Genomic DNA, 26,589 nt, shown 5'->3' with positions numbered 1-26,589 from the left:
CCGTGGGATGCTGATTGGTGTCTGAAGCAACTGATCATCTGTACGATACTTTTAACTAAGTTGGAGAGATAAAAACATGATGTTGCAATAATTATTAGTCATTGGAGTAAATAAGTGTGTCACTACACTAACTCCTCATGCGGCCCAAAATTTTATGGATTTTTGTCCTTATAAATGGGTTGCATCATTTTTATAATTTATATCATTTAAATTGGAAAAGATTTTTAAAATACTTTTTTGGAGGACAAGAAAAAGGAAAGGATAAATTGAATTATTCATTATATTTGGAATCAATACAAATTGCTTACGGCAAGATGATTTGCATATAATGGTCAATGTATCAATCTTGTCAGGCCAATAATTAATATAATATATAAATTAAAAGAACACAAATATATGAAGACTTTTCCTGTTACAAATGTTATGTCATTGCATTGTGGGATCTTTGCACACCCTTCTCATGTTTGGGGCATGATTTGCTCCTGGTGGGTAGATGTGTCCTGTGTCCTGGGTGCTATCAGTCTCGTCAAGAAGAGAGGAAAATGGGATGAAGCAGATGACATGGGAAAATTTCTTTTGTAATTTTTGGGAGGCAGTGGAGAATCTCACTTTGGGCTGGTGTTGGATCTTGGGCCTACACCACATTCTAGAGTGTGAGCTGGGGCATCTGTGTCCATTGGTCGTGGTGGTGCTAGAATTTTCTCTGGAGAAGTCCTGTAATGTTTGAGTATTATTTTCTGGTTGGATTGACTTCAACACTGACTCTCTGATCTTGCTAGAGATTCTAGAACTGCCTAATATCCTTTAATACATGTCTTTTCTGTCTGTATTAGCTAAAGAGGATTTTGCTATTTGCAGTTAGAAATGCTCACTGATACACCTTGTATAATCCCATTTGGTTAAAAAAAAAAAAACTGTTTTCAGAGAAAAAAGTATAACAATGGTTATTTCTTCCAGCAGAGATTTCTGAAGATTTCTATCTTTTATGTGTTTGTTTTTCTTTATTTTTGAAATTTTCTGCAATGAGCAACTATTTCTTATGTCAAAGCTTCTAGGGAGTAAATACATGGGAAAACTTGTTACATTAAAACATTAATCTATTTATGGGATATGAGAAATGAGAAATTCTATTGGCTTTCTGAGATTGGGTTGAACTTATTGTAAAAAATAAGAGTCATAGCCATAGAACTTCATGGAGACTTACAAGATTAGGGTTAAAGCCAGCCTTGTCCATGGCTAATTGACCTTGAATACATCATTGGGTCTCTGGGCTTCCAGTTTTTCATTTGAACAGTGACTGGGTTGCGGTAGATCAGTGATTTTTAAACTTAGTTCTGTGTAACCTCGGTGTTGCGGGTAGATAGGAGAAGGAAGGATTACTTGTGCATAGGGCTGCAGTATTAAAGTCTCTAAATGAAGTCAGGGGAGGCCCACATGTACCTGTCTCACATGTTGGATTTCAAAATTTTTCTTTGGAAGCAATGTTCTGGCTAGTAACATATTTCAGAAACTATTGAACTAAATTATCTTTAAGGTCACTTTCAGCTATAATATTTTATTATTTTATTGCTTTTCCCAATGAATTACACTTACTGTAATGTCAATTAGGTAACTTTACACACACACACACACACACACACACACGAAACCCAGAATTGTAAAATTATGAGCCAGAAAAGAACTTATTGATCTCAACTTTTTATTCTTATAATTTCTAACCGTATTATCTAACAACTCAGTTCGCCTTTAAGAACTCACTTAAGACAAGCATTTACCTGTCTGTGAGAATTCTATTATTATATTTGTCATTGACAATATGTTTAAACGCATACACTGTCATATTATTAGGAATATATGTTATACTGCTACTGAAATATAAACAAATGAATGCAATTCCTAAAAAGAAGAATATTGTTGCTGACTACAATTTAATATACTTTCACTACGAAGCATAGTAAATATGCTTAGTATAATGACGTATAATAAAGAATAACAATTTTTGTCATCAGAAAAGATGTGACAATAATTCATGCTGAGAAGCTTTCATCTGGATTTTATGGATCAACACATTGATTTCTCTAGCATATAAAAATATTCTGGGAATTTGAACACATTGAAAATTTAGTATGGTTGAAGCATTGGTCATTTGTATAAAGGCATTCAAGAGAAATTTGCAAGAGATAAAAGCCAAAAACAGAGCTCAGATTGCCAATAAACTTGAATTTCATCTTAGAATTCAAGGTTTTATTTTTATTTTGAAAGTGATGGAGGTGCAGTAATAATTTTTAAGCCATAGAATGACAGGATTAGATTTGAATTTTTAAAATATCAATTCAGCTGTGGTGTAATGAATCAGGGAAGGTTAAGTCTTGTGGCAGAAGCAGTAATTAGAAGGTTTATTTCAGGTATGAGATCAAAGAATTAAGTTAATTACATTAAAGGTGGAGAGAAATTGAGGCATTTCAGAAAAAGTAATGAGATAGAAGCCACAGGAGTCACATATTTGGATTAGGGAGTAAGAAAATATGAGACATTAATGATGATGCTGTGTTTCCTTCTTGGTTAGCTGACTGGAACAAAATCAGAGAAAGAGTAGCTTTGAGAACAAATGATGAAAAGTTCCATTTTGTAATGAATATGTGTGGTTCAAATTTATACTACTGTCATTGATCTGAGAACTCACAAGCCAAGAAAATATCATGAAATTTGCCCTGGCAGGTCTCCTGCCGGAAGAAAACTTGATACTCCTCTGAAGGGACACACACTGAACCAAAGTTGTCCAGAATTCTCACAGGAAAAGTCCCATGAAAGAGGAACTCACAACCAAAAATGGAAAACTATATGGGAGTAAAAGCTGCTTTGAGTCAGAATCAGAGGACCCAAAAGCAGAAAAATTTTAACTATAAGTACTTCAGATTGCATACCAGTTTGAGAGATTACAACATAATTGTTTAAAATTAATAAACAATAGAATAAATTGAAACCATAAGACAGCCATGAGACATTATGATGAAGAATAAACCAATGTAGCCAAATACAGCTTCTAAAGAGAAAAACATAGTAATCAAAATTTAAAATTGTCAAAGGAAAATAAAACATTACGTAAACAATAGTTGAAGGCAGAATTAATGAACTAAAAGACTGAAGTGAGGAAATTAGCAAAGTGGTAGTACAGAGATAAATAATATCTGAAATTTTAAAGGACATAGGGCACAGAGGAAAATAAATTAGTTTATATTTCGTATGAGACACAAAAATCAAATAGGATGAATTGGGGAAAGGCAATATTCAAAAAATGATGGCTGGAATTTTTTCAGAATAAATGAAGTACATGAATATTAATATATAATAATAACAATGAGTCCTAAGTAGAAAAAATGAAAGTAAATTCATATATAAAAATATTGGTGAAGCTGCATGATATCAAAGACATAGAAGACAAAATATTATTAGAGGGAAGAGTCTGCTTATTTGCAGAGCAACAGCAAATTTTCAGCAACAGTACAGACTAGAAGACATGGGGCTTTTATCCTTAGAGAGCTGAGAGGATATAATTATTAGTTTAGGCATCTATTCTCAGTAAAAAAAAATTTCTTTTTTTAACTCTTATTTTAGGTTCAGGGGTACATGTGAAGTTTTGTTACATAGGTAAACATATGGGGCATGGGAGTTTGTTGTACAGATTATTTCATCACCTAGTAATTAAGCCCAGTACCCAATAGTAATCTTTTCTTGTCCTCTCCCTCCTCTCACCCTCCACCCTCAAGTAGATTCCAGTGTTTGTTGTTTCCTTCTTTGTATTCATAAGTAGTTATCATTTAGCTCCCACTTGTCAGTGAGAACATGTTATTTGATTTTTTGTTCCTATGTTAGTTTACTAAGGATAATGGCCTCCAGCTTTATCCATGTTCCCACAGAAGACACGATCTCATTCTTTTACGTGGCTGCACAGTATTCCATGGAGTATCTGTACCACATTTTCTTTATCTAATCTGCCATTGATGACATTTCAGTTGTTTCCATGTCTTCTGCTATTGTGAATAGTGCTGCAGTAATGGGATTGCTGGGTCAAATGGTAGTTCTGCTTTTAGCTCTTTGAAGAATCACCATACTGCTTTCCACAATGGCAAAACTAATTTACACTCCCTCCAGCAGTGTATAAGTGTTCCCTTTTCTCTGCAACCTTGCAGCATCTGTTATTTTTTACTTTTTAGTAATAGCTATTGTGACTGGTGTGAGATGATATCTTATTGTGGTTTTGATTTGCATTTCTCTAATTATCAGTGATACTGAGTATTGTTCATATGCTTGTTGGCAGCATGTTTGTCTCCTTTTGTAAAGTGTCTGTTCACATTCTTTGCCCACTTTTTAATGAGGCGATAAAGGCAATCCCATTTACAACTGCCACAAAAAGAATAAAATACCTAGAAATACACATAACCATGGAGGTGAAAGATCTCTGCAATAAGAATTACAAAACACTTCTGAAAGAAATCAGAGATGACACAAACAAATGGAAAAACATCTCATGCTCATGGATAGGAAGAATCAGTATCACTAAAATGACTATACTGCCCAAAGCCATTTACAGATTCAATGTTATTTCTGTCAAATTACTAATGACAATTCTTTATAGAAGTATTAAAAAAACCTATTTTAAAATTCATATGGAACCAAAAAAGAGCCCTAATAGCCAAGGAAATTCTTAGCAAAAAGAACAAAGATGGAGGCGTAATGTTACTCACTTCAAACTATGCTACAAGGCTACAGTAACCAAAACAAAATAGTACTGATACAAAAACATGCACATGGACCAATGGAACATAATAGAGAGCCCAGAAATAAGGCTGCACATCTATGACCATATGATATTTGACAAAGCTGACAAAAACAAGCAATGGGTAAAAGACTCCCCATTCAACAAATGGTGCTGGAATAACTGGCTAGCCATACGCAGAAGATTGAAGCTGGACCCCTTCCTTACACCATATACAAAAATCAACTCAATATGGATTAAAGACTTAAATGTAAAACCCAAAACTGTAAAAACCCTGGAAGCCAAGCCAGGCAATACGTCCTGGACATAGGAACAGGCAAAGATTTCATGACAAAGACCCCAAAAGCAAATGCAACAAAAGCAAAAATTGACAAGTGGTATGTAATTAAACTTGAGTTTCTTCACAGGAAAAAAAAAAACTATACACAGAATAAACAGATAACCTTTTGGGAGAATGGGAGAAAATATTTGTACACTACGTATCATCTATAAAGAAAAATATTTCAACATCAATGTTGAAACAAATACGTTTTTAAACAAGACTAAGAGCATTTACATAGAGTCTCTCACTTAAGTATGAAGGATGGAGTTTAGGAAAAAGGAAATTAAACCAGAAAGTAGAAATATAATTCAAGAAGTGATATACCCCAAAAATTTAATGAACATGTGGGTAGCGCTGAGAAAGTATTTGCTCTGCTGTTCTGTAAAAATAAAATAAAAATAATACCAACCCCGTCTCTATTAAAAATCCAAAATTAGCCAAGCATGGTGGCGCATGCCTATAATCCCAGCTATATGGGAGGCTGAGGCAGGGAATCCTTGAAACCGGGAGGTGGAGGTTGTGGTGAGCCAAGATCACGCCATTGCACTCCAGCCTGGGCAACAAGAGCAAAACTCTGTCTCAAAAAAAAAAAAAAAAAAAAAAAAAAAAGAAAAGAAAAAAGAAAATAATAATACCAGTCATTTAGAATAATAAAAACAAGGTAGAACTAAAATCCTGGGTTGAGGGAGGAAGAATACCATTTTCAATTACAGGGGTGTTAGAAGTTTCTCGTATGGCATTATGGTAGGCAGAACATCTTCAACAAAACACAAAAATTGTAATCCAACAATGAAATATTGTTTTCTTTGACTATATTAAAATTAAAGCTTCTGAAAGTTAAACTCATAGAAGCAGAGAGTGAAATGGTGGTTGCCAAGGATTAGGGAGTGCTGGGGAAAGGAGAGATGTTGGGCAAAGGGTACAAAGTTTGTTAGACAGGATAAATAAATACTTCTGGAGTTCTACTAGACAGCATGGTGACTACGATTAATAATAGTGGATTGTATACTTAAAAATTGCTGAAAGAGTAGATCTCATATGTTCCCAACACCAAAAAGATGATGTTTGTGAGGTGGCATATTAATTAGATTGATTTAATTTTTTAAAAATGTGTATGTATATTAAAATATCACATATTGTATGCCATAAATACATATATATTATATATTTTTGTAAAGTATATCTCCATAAAGCTGGGGGAAAATAAAATTAAATCTTCTGTATGGCAAAATATGCCCAAAACAAAGTGAAAAAAGCCAACTACAGAAATTATTTGTAAACCATGTAACAGATAAAGTATTACAAGCCAAGATATAAAATTTCTTACAAAACACTAAGAGAAAACACCAAACAACCCAACCAGAAAATGAGAAACAAGACAATTCCTAGAGGAAGAAAACTGAGTGGTCAATACAATAAATGAAAAGCTATGTGATCTCACAAGAAAATAGGGAAATGCTAGCACAATGAGATGCCATTTGATACTCATCATATTGGCAAAACTTTATAAATCAAAGACAACAAGGGCTGGCAGAATGTCAGGAAACAGAAACTCTTATTCAAGGGAGAGTTCAATGGTATAATTATTTTGAAGAGCAATTCGGCAGAATTTTCATCTAAGTATTTAGCAGAATTTTGGTATAACTATTCTGAAGAACCTTAAAATGAATACATACCTAATAACTTAGCAAGCCCCCTTCTAGATTTTTGACCTAGAAAAACTCGAACTTGTGCACAGGTATGTTTATTGCAGATTGCTTGTGGTAGCAAAATAGTAGAAGCAAATTATCTATCTCTTATAGGAGAAAAAAATAGATTGTGGGTTATTCATATAGTGGAGTATCGATTAAGATGGACTCAGTGTATACATATACTATAGACAATCTCAAAAGAATGGCATTGAATAAAAAAGCAGCTTTCAAAAGGATACCATCATTCACATAAACGTAAACATACAGAAAACATAAAAACATTTAAAATAGTATATTTTGACCATAATATTTGTGTATTATTTATATATATTACACATATTTGTATATTTATTATACATTTATAATAAAAGAATTAAAACCCTCACGCCTGTAATCCCAGCACTTTGGGAGGCCGAGGCGGGTGGATCATGAGGTCAGGAGATCAAGACCATCCTGGCTAACAAGGTGAAACCCCGTCTCTACTAAAAATACAAAAAATTAGCCGGGCGCGGTGGCGGGCGCCTGTAGTCCCAGCTACTCGGGAGGCTGAGGCAGGAGAATGGCGTGAACCCGGGAAGCGGAGCTTGCAGTGAGCCGAGATTGCGCCACTGCAGTCCGCAGTCCGGCCTGGGCGACAGAGCGAGACTCCATCTCAAAAAAAAAAAAAAAAAAAAAAAAGAATTAAAACCTACTGTGAATGATATACACTGACTTTTAGTGTAGTGATAACTTCTGGGGAGAGGGAGCAAAGCAGTAAAGGCTTTTTCTTCCCCCTGGTTCTTCTCCATTCCCCAAGTCTAAGACCCTCCCAGAATTTAACCTTTGGCCACCTGAGCTTTTTCTCATAATCATTGCTCAGGTCTGATTGTACGGTTTGTTTGCTCAACATTATGTAATATTTTCTGTACTTTTTGGAACATTTCAGAATTAGAAATTGTTTTAAAAATTGTTAAAGAGGTTGGTCAACAATGCAAGTGTTGCAGAGATTAAATGAGACCAGTGCTGAGAAAAGTCTATCGGTCTTGCAACCACAGAGCTGACTGATGGTTCAGCAGGGGAGACTCAGCTGGTTGGTGGCAGAGCAGGATTAGATCTCAATCTTACGAGCCTTGGTGTTTTCATTTCTTCCACTTGATCATACCGCTTCCCTATGTGGTTAAAATTCCTTCAGAGGTCCCCAAATCCAGCTACAAATCTAGTAGCAGGGTGAGGAAAACTGAGGGCAGTCAGTTATCCCCATGCTGAGGCAGGCACAGCCAGGAGAGGAAGTACGAGGGTGCAAGAGGCTGTGCCAGAGGCAACTGTGATATCTGCTGAAAGATGCTAAGTTACTAACTCTCACTTTTAAATAGGACTTTCCCCTAGAGCCAGGTGGGAGGATGGGGCCACAGCAAGAAAAGAGAAGAAAATTCTGCAGCTGGAGTTTCCCTTTCTTCCAGACTGTCTTGTTTCTGCAAAGGCTTCCCCAAAGTAACACCATTCTCTCCCACAGTTTGGATCCCCACACACCCTGCTTGGAAAGAGTAAACAGTAATTAGTTATATAAAGTGACAGAAAAGATACAGACACAAATTAGTGAAGGAGGATGAAGGCACAAGTGTATCATTACATGGGAGGAGCAAGTATCCTACCTTCCAGAGTTCTACTGGGAGGAAAAGCCTGAGAAAGGTGGGCTCAGCCCAGGCAGAATCTTGAAGATGTTCTAAATTCCACCACCAGCCATCCCAGCTTTCTTTCACCACCCCCCCAACCCTCCGCCCAAGTACTTCAAAGCATCCTTGCTCTGTGCCAGACCACTTTGGTCACCAAGTCTAAATTTCAGTACCAGATCTGCCACTAACTTGCTGTGTGACCTTAAGCAAGTCATCTACCTTTCCTAAGCCTGTTTCTTCATTCTCAAGTGAAAAAGGTGAGAAAAGACTATGTCTAAATTTCTTTTACCTCTGATACCCTATGCGACTATAAATATCTTCAAGATATTGTCCTCCATGCAACAAAATTAGCCCTGGGTCATTTACTCATGGTCAAATGTAATCTATTGATAGCAGCTGAAGAAATTGCACTTTAGCCCTAAAACAAACGTGGTTCCAGAGGTCCAGCAGGTACGATAAGTTTCTAAAGCAGCCAGAGGTGAGACAATAGGGAGCAGTGGGGGTTCAGGGGAGCTGGAGAGTGTCTGCCTCACCTAGAGGCATCCACATGCAAGTGTTTCAGAAACACTGTGCTGCCCAGGGCCATCAGAGTGCAGCCCCAGATAAAAGAAAAAGAAAATCTGTGATGGAATTTCAGGCATGCATCCTATGAGGTTTAAGAGGATTAGGGCAGCAGAGAGTAAAGGAGTGGGTGAGAGAAGTTGGACCATCTCATAGTCAAATCATCAGTTGCTATCTCATTCACTATTATTCTAGATTTTTAGAGAGGTAGCCATGGATAGATTTTACCCCCAACTTCGCCCTGTCTACACATCAGTTAATTCAGTCAATTAGATCTCAAGGCAAGTACTCAACTTCACTTTCCTCCTTGATATGGTTTGGCTCTATCCCCACCCAAATCTCATCTCTAATTGTAACCCCCACATGTCGAGGGAGGGACCTGATGGGAGGTGATGCGATCCTGGAAGTGGTTTCCCCTATGCTGTTCTTGTGATAGTGAGGGAATTCTCACAAGATCTGATGGTTTAAAAGTGGCAGTTTCCCCTTCGCTCTCTCTCTGTCTCCTGCCGCCATGTAAGAAGTGCCTTGTGTGAAAATGGACTAATATACTCCTGTTTTACATTAAAGGGTTCGAGTAACTTTGCTTCAGGATCTTTTCAGGATCTAGTATCTTATAAAGCTAAATACAAAATGGCTCCAGGATTTATTCATTCATTTGTTCAACATAGATTGCCAAGTATAGCTCACAAATATTTATCAGACAAAGATTGTCTCAGGAGCCTAGAATTCTAGAGCTAACAGCATCACCCAATGTTCTTTTGACAAGTAGTTATTGGGTACCAGCTCTGGTTGCAGGCATTGTTCTGGCCTCTGGAATGCAGCAGTGAGCAAGGCAGATAAGGTGTCTGCCCTCATGCAGCCCAACAACAAACATGTGGAAAAAAAGTTAGTAAGTTAATTTCAGCTGGTTATATATATGAGCTGAAAGAAATGGTGAGTGAGGTAGAGAATGATAATGATACATTTTAAGGGACAGTCAAAACAAATGGCCCTCAAGCTGAGGCTGAAATGGTGAATGAATGCCATACAAATAAAACTAGGGATGAAGGCCAACCAGAAGTAAGAGTCTTGTAAAAGGAGCAAGTTTGACATGTTTGAGGAAATCACACCAAGACTATACTTCGTGGAGCATAGGGAAATGAGAGAGTGGTAGGAAATGAAGGAAACTCAGGGATCAGATTTTCTATCTCAGTCATCCTGGTGGACAGCAAGGAATACTTTCTGACGGTATACAAAAATGTAAATCAGGAATTTCAGGATATAGACAAAAGACCAACCCAATAGGAGTCAAGAGGCTTGAATTTTACTCCAACATCTGCCATTAACTGCTGTGTGACCTAGGTATGCCTGCAAGTCATTTAACATCTCTGGGCTTCAGTTTCTTCAGCTGTGATTGAGATGGTCATATTAGATATACATTAGGAAATGCCCCCACTATAAGATAAATCCCGTGAGAACAGGAATCTTACTTCAATGATATATTCATATATCAACAGTGACTAGCATGGTTCTGAACATATATTTGGCACTCAGCAAATATTTATTGGATGAAGGTTAAGCTATCTTTCTAGCTTTAGCGTTCTAGGATTCTAAGGCAATCTTTGATGAATATTCATTAGTTTTATTTTGGTAATTTGTGCCTTCCATGACCAATCTACATATAAAGTTGTGAGTGTAATACATGTTGTTTGCTGACCAATGAGATCAATTCTGCATACATTCCCTGGATAAACAATGGATAATAATCAGATAATTGCAGAGAGAGATTCCTACATTGAACCAGGCTACCATATACTGAGGGCTTGCAATGTGCCATTTTAAGCATTTTATATGCATTCTTTTATTTAATGTTTAAATCAATCCTGTGAATTGGGAAAACTGGCATTCAGTGAAGTTAGGTAACTTTTTCAAGGTCAGGCAGCTAGCCAGGACTCACACCCAAGTCTGTCACTCCCAGGCAGTGCTTTTAGGTTCTATACCATGTTGCTTTCTGAGTTATTGTTTCTTTTACTGAAAAGATACTCAGTAATTAATAGTTCAGGTCTGGTGCAGCCAGCCAGTGATATCAATGACCCGTACCTCTAGCCTTCCATTTTGTTGTCTCTGTGTATGGCTTCCAGGTGGCTACTGTTGCTCTAGATATCAATTTTGGTTCAAAGAGAAGAAAAGGGAAGATGTGATGCCAGCAATCTTTATTCATTTACTCAGAAAAACAAGTCTTCCCCAAATGCTTACTCAGCTTCTGCCTGTAACTCCTTGGCCCAAACTATATCTTGTTGCTCCTGGCAGCCAGGGAGGTTGAAAAAGAGAGTAGCTTGATGGAGTTGGGCATATTGGTGCCCCCAAACAAAACTGGGGTCTGTCACCTAGGAAGTAGGAGAGAATGGCTATTGGGAAGGTAGTTATCAGTGTCTGCAGTACCTAATAGGACAGCCTGGCCATTGAATTGTTACAGAATGTCTGATTGCTTAGGGGTACTGTTAAGTTATAATGAGCTATTTTTACTTTGTAATTTCTCCTTTGAGTTTTTTTATATATAAATACACAGAGAAAATGAAAGTAGTCACTAAGCAGAGCTTTGGAGGTCATAAACTAGGCACCAAGTGGAGTCATGTAATTGGAAGGTGTGTGGCACTGGGTGACTGGACTCCTGATGTCCATCTGTCTAGTCCTGGCTCTGCCACCAGCTGATTACCTTAAGAAAATCCTTTTTTGGGGGAAAGCTCCAGTTTCTCCATAGTAAAATAAGGTGTTTGTACTAGATAAAGTCTAAAATCTCTTAGAAGGTTTTGCTAACCTTATTTATGTCACTTAAGGATTGACATTTGAAAAGAATGAGAGAATGAAGGGTGTTAGTTTAATGAGCATGAAATGTTTTATATGCTGTTATAAGAATTGAGAGAGCTTTTGAGTATTACCTTTCTCCACTAAAAGTTGGGTAAGATGGGGTGAAAAGCTTTAAAACAAATAACAGGTAAAATTAGATGAAGTAATCTGTATAACCAGAAGATAAAGATCAAATGTAAATGTTAAAAGGGCTGCATTTTGCACTAGACAATGCAAATTCCACCATCAAGTTGGTATTAAGAAACTGGGAGATTCTGGATTCTGGTGTTGTCAGTTCCAGGACTAGAGCTTCAACCACAGCCCTCCTTGGGGTATTAAAAAAGCAGCCGAAAAATGACCAGGCAGCTTCCCAGGGAACAGGAGCTCCCCGGAAATGCCTTGCAAAGGACTCATCATCTCCACAGTTTTTACATGGCCCAGATTAGGAGTGGGTGTGTGGTAGGTGCTACTGGACACTTTTGTGTTTCTTCTTTTTAATATAAAATGATGATAATAATGATGATGATGATGATGATGATGATGATGATGATGATGGCAATTAGTATTAATGAGTGTTTTCTATTTGCCAGAGGCTGTAACTATGATAACTGCTTTTAGATATTATCTTTAAGTCCCAGTTTCTTCATCTGTAAAATATGAGTATTATTAGCCTTTGCATCATTCTTTTTTTTTCTGCAAAATATCAAATTAACTTTATTTATTATTATTATTATTATACTTTAAGTTTTAGGGTACATGTGCACAATGTGCAGGTTAGTTACATATGTATACATGTGCCATGCTAGTGCGCTGCACCCACTAACTCATCATCTAGCATTAGGTATATCTCCCAATGCTATCCCTCCCCCCTCCCCCAAGTGGGCTTCATCCCTGGGATGCAAGGCTGGTTCAATATATGCAAATCAATAAATGTAATCCAGCATATAAACAGAACCAAAGACAAAAACCACATGATTATCTCAACAGATGCAGAAAAGGCCTTTGACAAAATTCAACAACCCTTCATGCTAAAAACTCTCAATAAATTAGGTATTGATGGGACGTATCTCAAAATAATAAGAGCTATCTATGACAAACCCACAGCCAATATCATACTGAATGGGCAAAAACTGGAAGCATTCCCTTTGAAAACTGGCACAAGACAGGGATGCCCTCTCTCACCACTGCTATTCAACATAGTGTTGGAAGTTCTGGCCAGGGCAATTAGGCAGGAGAAGGAAATAAAGGGTATTCAATTAGGAAAAGAGGAAGTCAAATTGTCCCTGTTTGCAGACGACATGATTGTATATCTATAAAACCCCGTTGTCTCAGCCCAAAATCTCCTTAAGCTGATAAGCAACTTCAGCAAAGTCTCAGGATACAAAATCAACGTACAAAAATCACAAGTATTCTTATACACCAACAACAGACAGAGAGCCAAATCATGAGTGAACTCCCATTCACAATTGCACCATTCTTTTATATAAAGAATAATTATTGGAGACCTAATCAGCATCAGTCACCAAAGGAGACTCTGTATTGGGCTCATTTTAAAAGGGCTGCTGGGCTAGAGGCCATAATCCAAAGCAAATTAACAGAGGAACAGAAAACTGCATGTTCTCACATCTAAGTGGCAGTTAAACACTGGGTACTTGTGGACATGAAGATGGCAATAGACACTGGGGACCACTAGAGGAGGGAGGGATGAAGGGGGGATGAAGGAGGACAAGGTTGAAAAACTAACTATTGGGTAATATGCTCAATATCAGGGTAATGAGATCAATCCTACCCCAAACCTCAGCATCACACAATATACCCACGTAACAAACCCACACATGTACCCCTTGCATCTTAAATCAAATTTGAAATTATAAAAAAAGACTCTGGAATGACATGATCTTATATGTATAAAACCCTAAAGACTCTAAAAATATAAAAAAGGTTAGAACTAATAAACTAATTCAGGCTACAAAGTATAGCTGAAGAATACAAAACCAACACACGAAAGTGAGTTGCATATCTATTCTTTAACAATGTACTATCCAAAAAAAAGTCAAGAAAACAGTCTCATTTACAATAGGATCAAAAAGAATAAAATACCTAGGAATAAACCTAACTAAGGAGGTGAAAGACTCATTTGAATGCTTAAAATTATAAAATACTGATGAAAGAAATTAGATAAAAATGTGGATTTTGTGTGCTTTTCCCAAAAATACATTCTATGTGAAAATGTCTACACTACCCACAGTAACTTACAGATTCAATGTAATCCCTAGCTAAATCTTAAAAACATTTTTATAATTATAAATAAAACAATTCTTAAATTTTCATGCAACTGCAAAAGACCTTAAATAGTCAAGACAATTTTGAATAGTAAGAACAAAGCTGGAGCTACCAAAATTTCTGATTTGAGAATATATTACAAAGCTACAGTAATTTACACAGTTTGAGACTGGCATAAAAATAGACATATAGATCAATGGAACAGAATAGTAGGCTCATAAGTAAACCCACACATATACGGTCAATTAATCTTCAATAAGGATGCTGATAATACATAATAAGGGAAGGACAGTCTCTTCAATAATTTTTTGGGGGGAAAACTGTATATCCACATCCAAAGTAATAAAATTGTGTCATTCATCATACACAAAAATTAACTGAAAATGAATTACAGATTTGAACATAAGATCTAAATCCATAAAATGCCTGGAAGAAAACAGAGGGGAAAAGCTTCTTGTCATTGATCTCAGTAATAATTTCTTGGATATGGCACCCAAAAACTGGCAACAGAAGCAAAAATTATAAGTAGAGCTACATTAAACGAAAACACTTCTGAACAGCAAAGGAAACATCAGAGTGAAAAGGCGACCTATGAAATGAGAGAAAATAGTTGCTAGCCATATTTCTGATAATGCATTAATTTCCAAAACATATAAAGAACTCCTACAACTCAATAGCAAAAAAATCAAATAACCTGATTTAAAAATGGAGAAAAGATCTGAATAGACACTTCTCCAAAGAAAACATACAAATGACAAACAAAAGAGATGCTTACTATCACTAATCATCAGGGCAATGCAAATCAAAAACATTGAGATATCACCTCACACCTGATAGGATGGCTATTATTAAAAAAAAAAAGACAGCAAATGTTGGTGAGGTTGTGGAGAAACAGGAACCCTTTAAAATGTAAAACGGTACTGCTGCCATGGAAAACAGTATGGAGGGTCCTCAAAAAATCAAAAATAGAATTACCACATGATCTAGCAATCTCAATTCTGGCTATATAACCCAAAGAATTGAAATCAGGGTCTCAAAGAGATATCCGCACTCCCATGTTCATGGCAACAATATTCAGAGTAGCCAAAATAACCCAAATGTCTATCAACAGATGAATGAATAGGCAAAGAAAATGTGTTAAACACATAAAGTTGAATATTATTTAGCCTTGAAAAAGAAGAAAAACCTAACATTTGTGGCAACATGTATAAACCTGGAAGACATTATGTTAAGCGACATAAGTCGGTCACGGAAAGACAAATATTGTATGTTTCGTTTTAAATGAGGCATCTAAAACAGTCAAAGGTATAGAAGTAGATAATAAAATGATGGTTACCAAGGGAGTTGTTATTCAATAGATATAATGTTAGTTATACAAGATGAGTAAGTTCTAGAGGTCTGTACAAAATAGTGCCTGCAGTTAACAATAAGATACAGTGCACTTACTCATTGGTTAATAGGATAGCTCTCATTAGAGTAAAAAGGGGGAATTTTGGCATGATGGATACATTTATTTCCTGGATTATAGTGATGGCGACATGAGTGTAAACATGTTCAAACTCACCAAGTATACATTAATTATGTAGAGATTTTGCATATCAGTTGTATCTCAGTAAAACTGGGGGAAAAAGATTACTGGGACAATGAAGTAATGAAAACAGGCAGCCTAATCCTGAGCATAATCAGTACTTGGAAGCTTTTTTTGTTTCACTGTATCTAATTGACTTTTTCTCTGCAGTGAGCACCATTGTTCCCATTTTATAGCTGAGGATTGCAAAGCCAATATGTCTTGTTGTGAGTGGCAAAAATGTAAGCTGTCCCCCAAGATATCCTGCTCCCTGGAGTACATACATACTCCTTCTCCTTGGTATTCAATAAAACACTCACCTAGGTACTGATGTAAAGGAATTTGGCTTGTAATATTAAGGTTCCAAAATCAGCTGACCTTAAAATAGGAAAATTATCCAGGTAGGCCAGACCCAATCAGATGAGCCCTTTAAATCTGAGTCCAGAGGAAAGAGATGCAGAAATCAGCGATGTGAATTTGAGAGTGATTTGATATGTGGGAAAAATCTCTTGCTGGCTTTGAAGATGGAGGAGACCATGTGTCAAGGAATGTGGGCTGCTGCTGGAGCTGCAAGTTACCTCAGCTGACAGCAGCAAGAGAATGGGGTCTTTAGTCCTACAACTGCAAGACAGTGAATTATGCCCACAATCATGTGAGCTGAAAAGGGAATCCTGAGCTCCAGATGAGATCAGCAGTGATCCCTACCTACATCTTAATTTTAGAGTTGAGCAGAGAATCCAGTCACCATGCCCAGACTGTGAGATAATGAATGGGTGTTATATTAAACTGCTAACTTTGCAGTAAATTGTTATCTATCTATAGAAAACTAATATGTTTACTTGGGCCACATGCCTAACCCATGGCAGAGCTAGGATTTGAACTCAGGTCTGGCTGACTCTAAAATTTTTGTTTTTAATCTCTCTTAACGTAGGGAATTACGCAAATCCAAAATTTGATATTAGGTGAGAAGTAGACTAACTGCAAGTATAACGTAGATGATGTGATAAATTTGAAGCAAACTCTGAGAACTATGAGAAAAATAAATTGCCAAAAATTTACATATGCTATGTGCAACTCAACCAACGTATTATTAGCATGAATGTGAAAAAAGAAACATTGGCTGTGCCCCCAGGCTCAACTTAAAGAAAGAACGGTGACATATAAACACTTATGTACAGTTCCTTAATTGCCAAATTAAATTGGCAGAAACTGACAGCTATGAGTGACTTGAAGAAATTCTCCTATAAGAAAACAATGCCTGGAATTTGGACAAATAGAACTTAGTGTGCAGAAATCAAAAGACTGGGCATTGCTACAGGTTCTATAGAGTTTCTGAAGGATGACTGATTTCCAAAGCTCAGCATAATTAGGAGAAGTGGGCAAAAGAACATCCTGATTTTTCTAGAGTAGCCATAAGTTGGACTTGGTGTAAGGACACCATTGTAAGGGCCCTTTCCAATATGTTATAGCAAAGACTGTAGCTACAAATAATATTTATCAAGGCCTTACTATGTTCCAGCCACTTCTCTGAGTGTTTTACATGACTTTACTCATGGAATCCTCAAACAATCCTAAGACGTAGGTATTGTGATTATCAGTTTTATAGATAAGACACCCGAAGCACAGAAAATAACTTGCCCTGGGTAAATATTGTATTGACTCCAGGATTTGAAGAATTCAGGCAGTTTGTCTCTAAAGACTGTGCTTTTAGCGATTATACCGTCTGCCTCAAAAAGAAAATGCTTAAGTTCCAGGAAAATTCGTTATTGTTGAAGAGGGAAGTGCATTTATATGGTTAAGACATGATGTTCATTGAAAGTATGCATGTTAGATTATCGTTTATATAAAAAGGAAAGAGATACCTTTGTTCAAACAATGCTATTTATATTGAGTGGAAAAGAACTAATAACTAACAGTAGATAACTCTTCAGGATGCCTAGGACTAGGTGCTGGGTGGTGGTCAAAATGAGGTTTAAGTTTACTGAAATATTTGAATTTTTTTTCCTAGAGTGTTTATAATTTATTGCAAAATAGTTCAGACTAAGAAAATAACACTGCACAACAGAACAAATCTGCATCATCCAGTTTAGGAAACAAAGCACGACAAATACAGTTTACCCCTCCTTGTGTGCATCCCCTCACTTCGCCTCACAGAGGTAATTGTCTCCCAGAATTTGTAGTCTTATCATTCTGTTGCATTTGCTTAATACTTTTTAGTACATTAAGCATGTATTACAAAATGATATTTAGTATATTTTATATTTCATATTTTATATAAATAACATACTTCATATATCATTTGACAACTTGCCTTTTTATTTTACGTATTTACTTTTTTTAACTTTTATTTTAGGTTCAGGGGTACATGTGAAGGTTTGTTACATAGGTAAACTCATGTCATGGGAGTTTGTTGTACAGATTATTTCATCACCCAGAAATTAAACCCAGCACCCAATAGTTATCTTTTCTGCTCTCCTCCCTCCTCTCACCCTCCACCCTCAAGTAGACCCCAGTGTCTTTTGTTTCCTTCTTTGTGTTCATAAGTTCTCATCATTTAGCTCTCACTTGTAAGTAAGAACAGGCAGTATTTGGTTTTCTGTTGCTGGGTTAGTTTGCTGAGTATAATAGCCTCCAGCTCCATCCATTTTCCTGCAAAAGACGTGATCTTATTATTTATATAGGCTGCATAGTATTCTATGGTGTATATGTACCACATTTTCTTTATCCAGTCTGTCATTGATGGGCATTTAGGTTGATTCCATGTCTTTGCTATTATGAATGGTGCTGCAATGAACATTCGTGTGCATGTGTCTTTATGGTAGAATGATTTATATTCGCCTGGGCATATACTCAGTAATGGGATTGCTGGGTCGAATGGTAGTTCTGCTTTTAGCTCTTTGCGGAATCACTATACTGCTTTCCACAATGGTTGAACTAATTTACACTCCCACCAACAGTGCACAAGTGTTCCCCTTTCTCTGCAACCTCACCAGCCTCTGTTATTTTTTGATTTTTTACTAATAGCCATTGTGACTGATGTGAGATAGTATATCATTGTGGTTTTAATTTGCATTTCCCTAATGGTCAGTGATATTGAGCTTCTTTTCCATATGCATGTTGGCAACATGTATGTCTTTTTTTGGAAAATGGATGGCCCTGTCCTTTGCCCACTTTTTAATAGGGTTGTTTTTCTCTTGTAAATTTAAGTTCCTTTTAAATGTTGGATATTGGACCTCTGTCAGATACATAGTTTGCAAATTATTTTCTCCCATTCTGTAGGTTGTCTGTTTACTCTGTTGATAGTTTTTTGTCATTGTTGTGCAGAAGCTCTTAAGTTTAATTAGATCCCAGTTGTCAATTTTTGCTTTTGTTGTGTTTGCTTTTGGTCTTTGTCATGAAATCTTTGCCCATTCCTTTGTCCAGGATGGTATTGCCTAGCTTGTCTTCCATGTTTGTTATAGTTTTGGGTTTTACATTTAAGCCTCTAATCCATCTTGAGCTGATTTTTGTATGTGGTACAAGAAAGCAGTCCAGCTTCAATCTTCTGCATATGGCTAGCTAGTGATCCCAGCACCCTTTATTGAATAGGGAGTCTTTTCCCCATTGCTTATTTTTGTCAGCTTTGTCAAAGATCAGATGGTCACAGATGTGCAGCCTTATTTCAGGGCTCTCTATTCTATTCCATTGGTCTAGGTGCCTGTTTTTGTACCAGTATCATGCTGTTTTGGTTACTGTAGCCCTGTAGTGGAGTTTGAAGTCAGGTAACATGATGCCTTCAGCTTCGTTGTTTTTTGCTTAGGATTGCCTTGGCTATTAGAGCTCTTTATTGGTTCCATATAAATTTTAAAATAGTTTTTTTCTAGTTCTGTGAAGAATATCATTGGGAGTTTGATAGAAAGAGCATTGAATCTGTAAACTGCTTTGGACAGTATAGCCATTTTTATATTGATTTTTTTCTATCCACGCACATGGGATGTTTTTTCATTTGTTACGCCTTCTCTGATTTCTTTGAGAAGTGTTTTGTAATTCTCATTGCAGAGATCTTTCACTTCCATGGTAAGTAATATTCCTGGTATTTTATTCTTTTTGTGGCAATTGTGAATGAAATAGCCTTTCTGATTTGGCTCTCGGCGTGGCTGTTGTTGGTATATAGGAATGTTAATGATTTTTTACATTGATTTTGTTTTTTTTTTTTTTTTTTTTTTTGAGACGGAGTCTCGCTCTGTCGCCCAGGCTGGAGTGCAGTGGCGCGATTTTTTACATTGATTTTGTATCCTGAAACTTTGCTGAAGTTGTTGATCAGCTGAAGGAGCTGTTGGGCTGAGACTGTGGGGTTTTCTAGATATAGAATCATGTTGTCTACAAATAGAGATAGTTTGACTTTCTCTCTTCCTATTTGGATGTTCTTTATTTCTTTGTCTTGCCTGATTGCTCTGGCTAGGACTTCCAATATTATGTTGCATGGGAGTGGTGAGACAAGGCATCCTTGTCTTGGGCCGGTTTTCAAGGAGAATGCTTGCTTTTCAGAAACTCATTATATGTGCGAAATGTATCAATATTGATATGTTTAGTTTATTTAAACTTTTTTACTCCTATGTAGCAGTCAATTTTATGACTATAGTTTATTTTTTGATTATTCTATTAATGAATATTTAGATAATTTCCAGTGTTTTGCAATTATAGAAAATGAGTCCATAAATAATAATGTCATCTTGGGTACATGTGTGAGTTTCTTTAGGTTCTGTGCCTAGGAGTGGGTAGCAGGTGTATACATCTCTACTTTACTAGGTAGTACCAAAATTCTGTCAATGTGGTGATGCTCCCACAGCAGTTCATAATGGTTCCAGATCTCTGTCAACACATGGCCATGCCAGACAGTAATTATTCCTAATCCAATTTTGTTAACAATAAGAATGTGTTCATGTTTTACTCATTTAATTAAAAAGAAAGAAAGGGAGAAGGGAGGGGGTGAGCAGAAAGAAATAAGGAACAGAAAAAGAAAGGAATCCAGTTTCTGAGCCAATGTGCAACTTCAGTGTTTGGACAGGGTAACTGGCGTCACAGGAAGGCCGTGTTGAGGTATAGACCTCTTGTAATTGATCAGGGGATGCTTACCTCTCCTTCTATTAAGGATTACACTAGCCTCAAAATTGGAGGTTGAGAAGAGCCTCTAATGATTTTAACTTGGGGAGAAAAGAGGTAAAGGCAGGCAGAAAGTAAAAAGGAGATGTACCCAGAAGCCCTTCTCAACTGGACCAGTGAGGAATACATGATTCAATCAGCCATTCAGCCATTTTATCTCCAGCTGGTTTGGCTGATTTTCTAGTGTGTTTAGAGGTTGACTCTTATGTGGAAAACTCATTAGTTATCCTATCATGCTTGCTTCCTCTTGGGTTATTATAAGCTCCACTATAAGGACATTTTAGCAGCAGAAACCAGAGAAAATTATTTTATGTCATTTGACAATATGAAAAATAAAATGAATTCTGTGGTGGGTGGAAATTTCACTTACTGTAGAATGTCAATGATAAATGATTTCCCTGAGCATGTAAGAAGCACCGTATATTACAGGAACTGTGGTCCCTCAAGCCCGACGTTCTGTCACCAGCCCCAGCAAGTAGTGGTGGTGTGATGAGGTCAGCTTTGAAAGATTAAGAAGTCAGTTTTTGTCACACATCCATTCAAGGTGCTTTCCTGTGTACTACAGATGTAGACCCACTTGGACACAAAGTGAATCAAATTAATCTTTTTGAATCTGAATTTATTTATCTGAAAATATCATTTATAATAGTAATTCTAACCTCCCTGAATTTTGTGGATTAAATAGGAATCATAAAGAAAGCTTTTGACAACTGAAGGCTGCATTCAGATGTTGATTTTTAAAATCTGTCACGTGTGTGTGTGAGTGAGAGAGAGAGAGAGAGAGCGCGCGAGAGCCTTACAGCATATTTGCCCTTTTATCAGGTGTTTTCAGATGTTTTTTCCATTGCTGATTAGCCTAACAGTCTTGGGTGAATAGCAGTGCATTTTCTCACCCAACCATTTGCTGTCCTGTCTGTAGCTGAATAGGGAGGCTGATAGTCAAGTGCTGGTTTTTATAAAGAAATATTTAGCACCACAAACTTTGCTATAGCAGCTTTTTCAATAAAAATCCTTTCCCTCACTTTATGTTGATTCTTCTGATCATTGTCTCTTGCTGGGGAGAGAGTTAATGTGCTTTGCCCTCCTGCGGGAAAAGGAGCAATGATGGGACTATAATGGTCAGCCTATGTTTCTCTCCGTTTTAAATGAGCAAAATTCACCCCATTGCTTGGTTGTTTAGCTGGCCTGAGAACTGGTAATTTTTCTCCAAATATCTGGTACACTTAGCAAAGTATTCCATAATTCCTAGTTCTGTTTATTTCAGAGTGGTAAGAGACTCGTGTAGATCCAGGTAGACCATTAGTCTACTAGATAAAGGAATAGCCTCTATGGTGTCATTAACCTGCACTCCTTTAACTTTTGCTTGCAACACTCTGGTGTTAGGGAGCTCACTACATTGTAAGGCTTTGCAGGGCAGCTCTGGTGATTAGGGCAGGGATGAGGAGTAGCAAGACAAATGCTAGAATGCCTTGTCTAGACCCAGGAGGTCAACCACTGCTCATGCCACTGCTTCTGGTGCTCATTATGTTGTTCATTGTAGATTTGCACTCCCCATCCTCCTTATAGTTGGGTGAGTCTTTCTGACTAGTTCTGGCCAATGAGTTTTTGAGTAGATATAATATAAGTCACTTCCAGGCTGGAACATTTCATTATCAGTTTGTGACACACACACTTTAACCCCCCACGTTCTATTTCCCTCTAGCATGTAAAATGGGAACATTTGAGATGGTGACCACTCCATCTTTCTGGATCACAGAGGGAATGAGATGAGCAGAGCCTCCTGACAATGCACACAGACATGTACAGTGAGTGAAAAATAAACCTTTGCTGTTTTACATTACTGAGGATTAAGAGTTCTTTGTTCCCAGAGTATAATCTAACCCAATCTGACTGAGACAATGGTGACTGAGAACCCATTCTCAGAAACCTTCTCAATACAGCATTTCAGCTATACAATTGAATTGTAGTTGTAGTATGAGAAGAAAAGTACCTTTCATTTTCTCTTAGTTTGAGCTGAACTCTACCTTCCAGTATCTTCCCTGACTAGGATCCAGCCACACTCTTTAGAACTGCATGACAGTGTTCAGAGATTGGAATTAGCTGCTCCAGAACCTCTGAGCTGTTTGGTCTCTCGAATGAGATCTCCATTTCCTCAGCTGCTCTACCTGTGCCACAGGGAATAATTCTAAACCTTCATTATTCTGGTTAATTGTCTAGATATGTTTTAGTATCACTGGATTATCATTATCCATGACAATTCTCAGGGTATCCTTAATCTTCCAGCACTTTTAGCATTCACGATATCTTTTAGAATCCATAGCCTGCCTGTGGCCTGTCATGTTCTGACATGAGGAGGGTGAGGGACAGTGAAAACATGTTAGAATCAATAGGTTGAATATCCTGAGATGGTCAAAGAATTACTGGAGTCAAGAGTACTAAAGAAAAGGGTTCTAGAGACAGGAAATGATGGTTTAAGAATGAGATATTTTAAACTGAAATTGTTGGGAGTTACAACTATTGGTAATGACGAACTCATGGACTGAACATTGGAGTGAGTAACTGAGGAAGTACAGAGCACAAGCTCATTGAAGGAGAGCAGGCTTGGTTCTCAAAGGAGTTATCAGACTTTTTTTAAGAGGCAAACATTTCTATTCATCTGTATTCCATATTATGTATTTTACTGTTAGATTATCTTCATAATTATGCCACTGGTGATTAAATTAAAATATTATTACATTTGTCTATCATAGGGATTAAGATATCCTGTTCTGGACTATCTACCAGCCATGTGACCTTGGGCACATCAGTTCAAGTCTCTGAGCCTCAGTTGCTTCATCTGTAAATTGGATATAGTCATAATATCTATAACCATAGGCTGTTGTGACGATAAAAATCAGCCAATGCATAAAAAACAGATATGACTCTTTCTGGCATATAGTAGCACTCAGATAATGAGAATAACTGTTCTTTATTCCATTATTATCAAAGCAGAGAAACTGACAAGGCCTAAAATCTTGGAAAGCTGCCACAGTCAACCCTAAGGGGATACCCTTATTATATTATATTACATTACGTTGCATATTAGAGCCCACCATTTATTTTCAAGCTAACCACAAAATTAATTTTTTTATCTCAGCATTTCTAGCACATAGAAACATTTCTACCTTAAGAATTATTTTGAGAAAGAACAAAACACACACTCAAATGAACACACCAAAATTCCACAAACTTGATTTGCAAATATTGTCAAATTAGATATTCATGAGATAATAAATTACAGCTTTTTATGGAAGATGTGTTAAAAATCCTTCAGGACTTTGAGAAAAGCTTGAAGCTGGAGCAGATCTTTCTAATTTTCTTGATAGGGAACTAGTGTGCCACCTCTGCCCCTGTGCTGCTCTCTCCAACCTTTGACATTCTCTGAGCTTCTTTAACTGCATGCATCCAGTACTGATAAATCAGGAACACTCCAGTGCATTCATTTAGACAAGACACCTGAAGTGTGTCTTGTCTATCGAAACAGCCTAGCTCTTGAAAGTCATATTTTTCTAGGCCAGTAATTCTCAATCACCCCAGATCAACTGCTACTCTCTTTTTAAAAACAAATAGCTTGTAATACCCCTTTACAATACTGAAATGAAATCCACGAGTAATCTAACGTATCTATACACAATGAACAATTATCAATATAATGTCTTAACTGAAATACAAAGAAGCAATAAAAGGAGAGTAATTTTGGTAAAATAACATACATTTCATTGTATAAATGCTAGGCTCATCTACAACAGAACATAATAAAGCAGTCAGATATGTGCATTTGTACATTAAGTCACCACCATGGACACGACAACTACCAACAAAGTCTAACGCAGACATGTTGTATGTAGGTGACAGGGTGAATATTTGTTCTGAACCAAATGAAAGCATACCCTTCCCTTTATTCAGTGTATGGAAATTACCATGCAAGATTCTTTTTATTTATAAGTAAAAGGAGTTATGTTCTAGATTAGATAATTACAAACAAATTTTTCACTTACACAAGTGGCTGGTAGGATGTTCTAGAATCATGGAGAATGTGGCCTGTAGAATGATAATTTTCTTATGAGGGATTGTCCCTCATGTTGTAATGTGAAACCTGTCCTTCCTCTAGATTTGTGTTGTGCTCCCCAATCATAACTACAACCCAGTATCCCAAAGATATCTCAAACATCCCCTAGGAGATGGTGCCACTTCCACCAATAACTAGGTTCTAGATAGGTTGACTGGTATCGATACAAGGAAAATATTTTTAAATTACTAAGACCACCCTAAACAAAATAAAACAAAAACAAAAACAAAAACCCACACACACATAAACAACACAAAAAATACTCTTGTCCCTTCTCTTTTATACACCAGATAGGTCAAAATGCAAATCTAATCATGTCACCCCCAGTGCCAACCTTCTTAAAACAATCACCGAATTAATGATAATACATAAATACTTAGTACAACTTCCAACCCCCTCCTGATGTGTGACCCTTGCTGGCCGCATCTGACATGAGGCATCCCCTCATTCTCTGCACTCCAGTGATCTTTGTCTCCTTTCAGTTGCTGGACGAAGTTATGTAGCTCTCACGGCTGCACTTTCCAGCCTCAGTCCCCAGTGTTTTCTGCCTTTTTTCTGTCAACTTCTATTCCTCTTTAAGTTGCAGCTCAATTATCATCTCCTCAAGAAAGTGTTTTCTGTTCTCCCATCAGGGTCAATGTTACCTTGTGTACCTCCCTTTATAATATCCACCATAGCTGTAATTTTATGTATATGCAGTTATTGGATTCATGTCTGTCTCCTTCAGTAGCCTCTGAGCTCCCTGAGGGAAGGGACTGCCTGCTTCCTCTTCTCAGTGCCTGAAATAGAGTGGACTATCAAATACTCTGTTGAGTGCATCTAGATATGATTAAGTTGGTGAAGGAATGGTTGAATGAACAAATGGACAAACATATGCCTATATCTAACCTGACATTCCTTGGCCAAGCCTCTTTTTGAGTCAGAGAGTTTGTTTGTTTTCTGCTTGGAGCTGGGCTCACACCCAGCTGCTTGGAGAAATTAATACTCTTGTGTATGACCTATTTGGCAAGAGCAGTACATTATCCTTCTAGTGCAAAGTGAGAAGACTTAGGTGTTGGCCAGAGTGCAAAAGATGGGATTCACAGGTGAGGGAAAAGTCTTTCCTTATTCTTCAGTTAAACAAGTAACCCATAAGCATACAAATTCATGTAGTTTAAAGTTCTAGTAATATTCTGAATGAAGAAGTCTCCCATCATCTTCAATACCCTGCCCAAAATATTTATGATTAACAATTGGGTGTGCATTCTTATGGCCATGACCTCTGGATCTACTTATATTAAATATGTGTATATGTATGCATACATATGCATTTCTGTCTCCCTCTTCTTCTCAGTTTTTATTTTATTCAAACTCCTATGATATCATATAATGTATATTGATGTATAATTTTTTAATCTACTCATGTTTTGGATACATTATATTATTTTATTGTAAGTATAGCACAACTTCTGTACAATAAAATAATAAATAAGATAAATATAATATACATACAATAAAATAATAAAATGTATTTAAAATAAGATTTTTTTAATTTAAAAAGTCATTTAAAAAATTATTTTAAGTTCCAGGATACATGCACAGGACATGCAGATTTGTTACATAGGTAAACATGTGCCATGGTGGTTTGCTGCACCTATCAACTCATCACATAGGCATTAAG

General features: G+C 36.9%; 1 protein-coding gene across 7 annotated transcripts in view; it reads left to right on the top strand.

Annotated features, from left to right (window-relative positions):
* The window catches only part of HTR4 (5-hydroxytryptamine receptor 4), a 203,496-nt gene that overhangs the window by 58,532 nt on the left and 118,375 nt on the right, over nt 1-26,589 (top strand). The gene's annotated exons all lie outside the window — the stretch shown is intronic.

The sequence above is a fragment of the Homo sapiens genome, chromosome 5 (genome assembly GCF_000001405.40).
Source record: "Homo sapiens chromosome 5, GRCh38.p14 Primary Assembly".
In the NCBI taxonomy this organism is placed as follows: domain Eukaryota; kingdom Metazoa; phylum Chordata; class Mammalia; order Primates; family Hominidae; genus Homo; species Homo sapiens.
The sequence above is the reverse complement of the archived record's forward strand: the minus strand, read 5'-3'. Positions and strand labels throughout refer to the sequence as shown.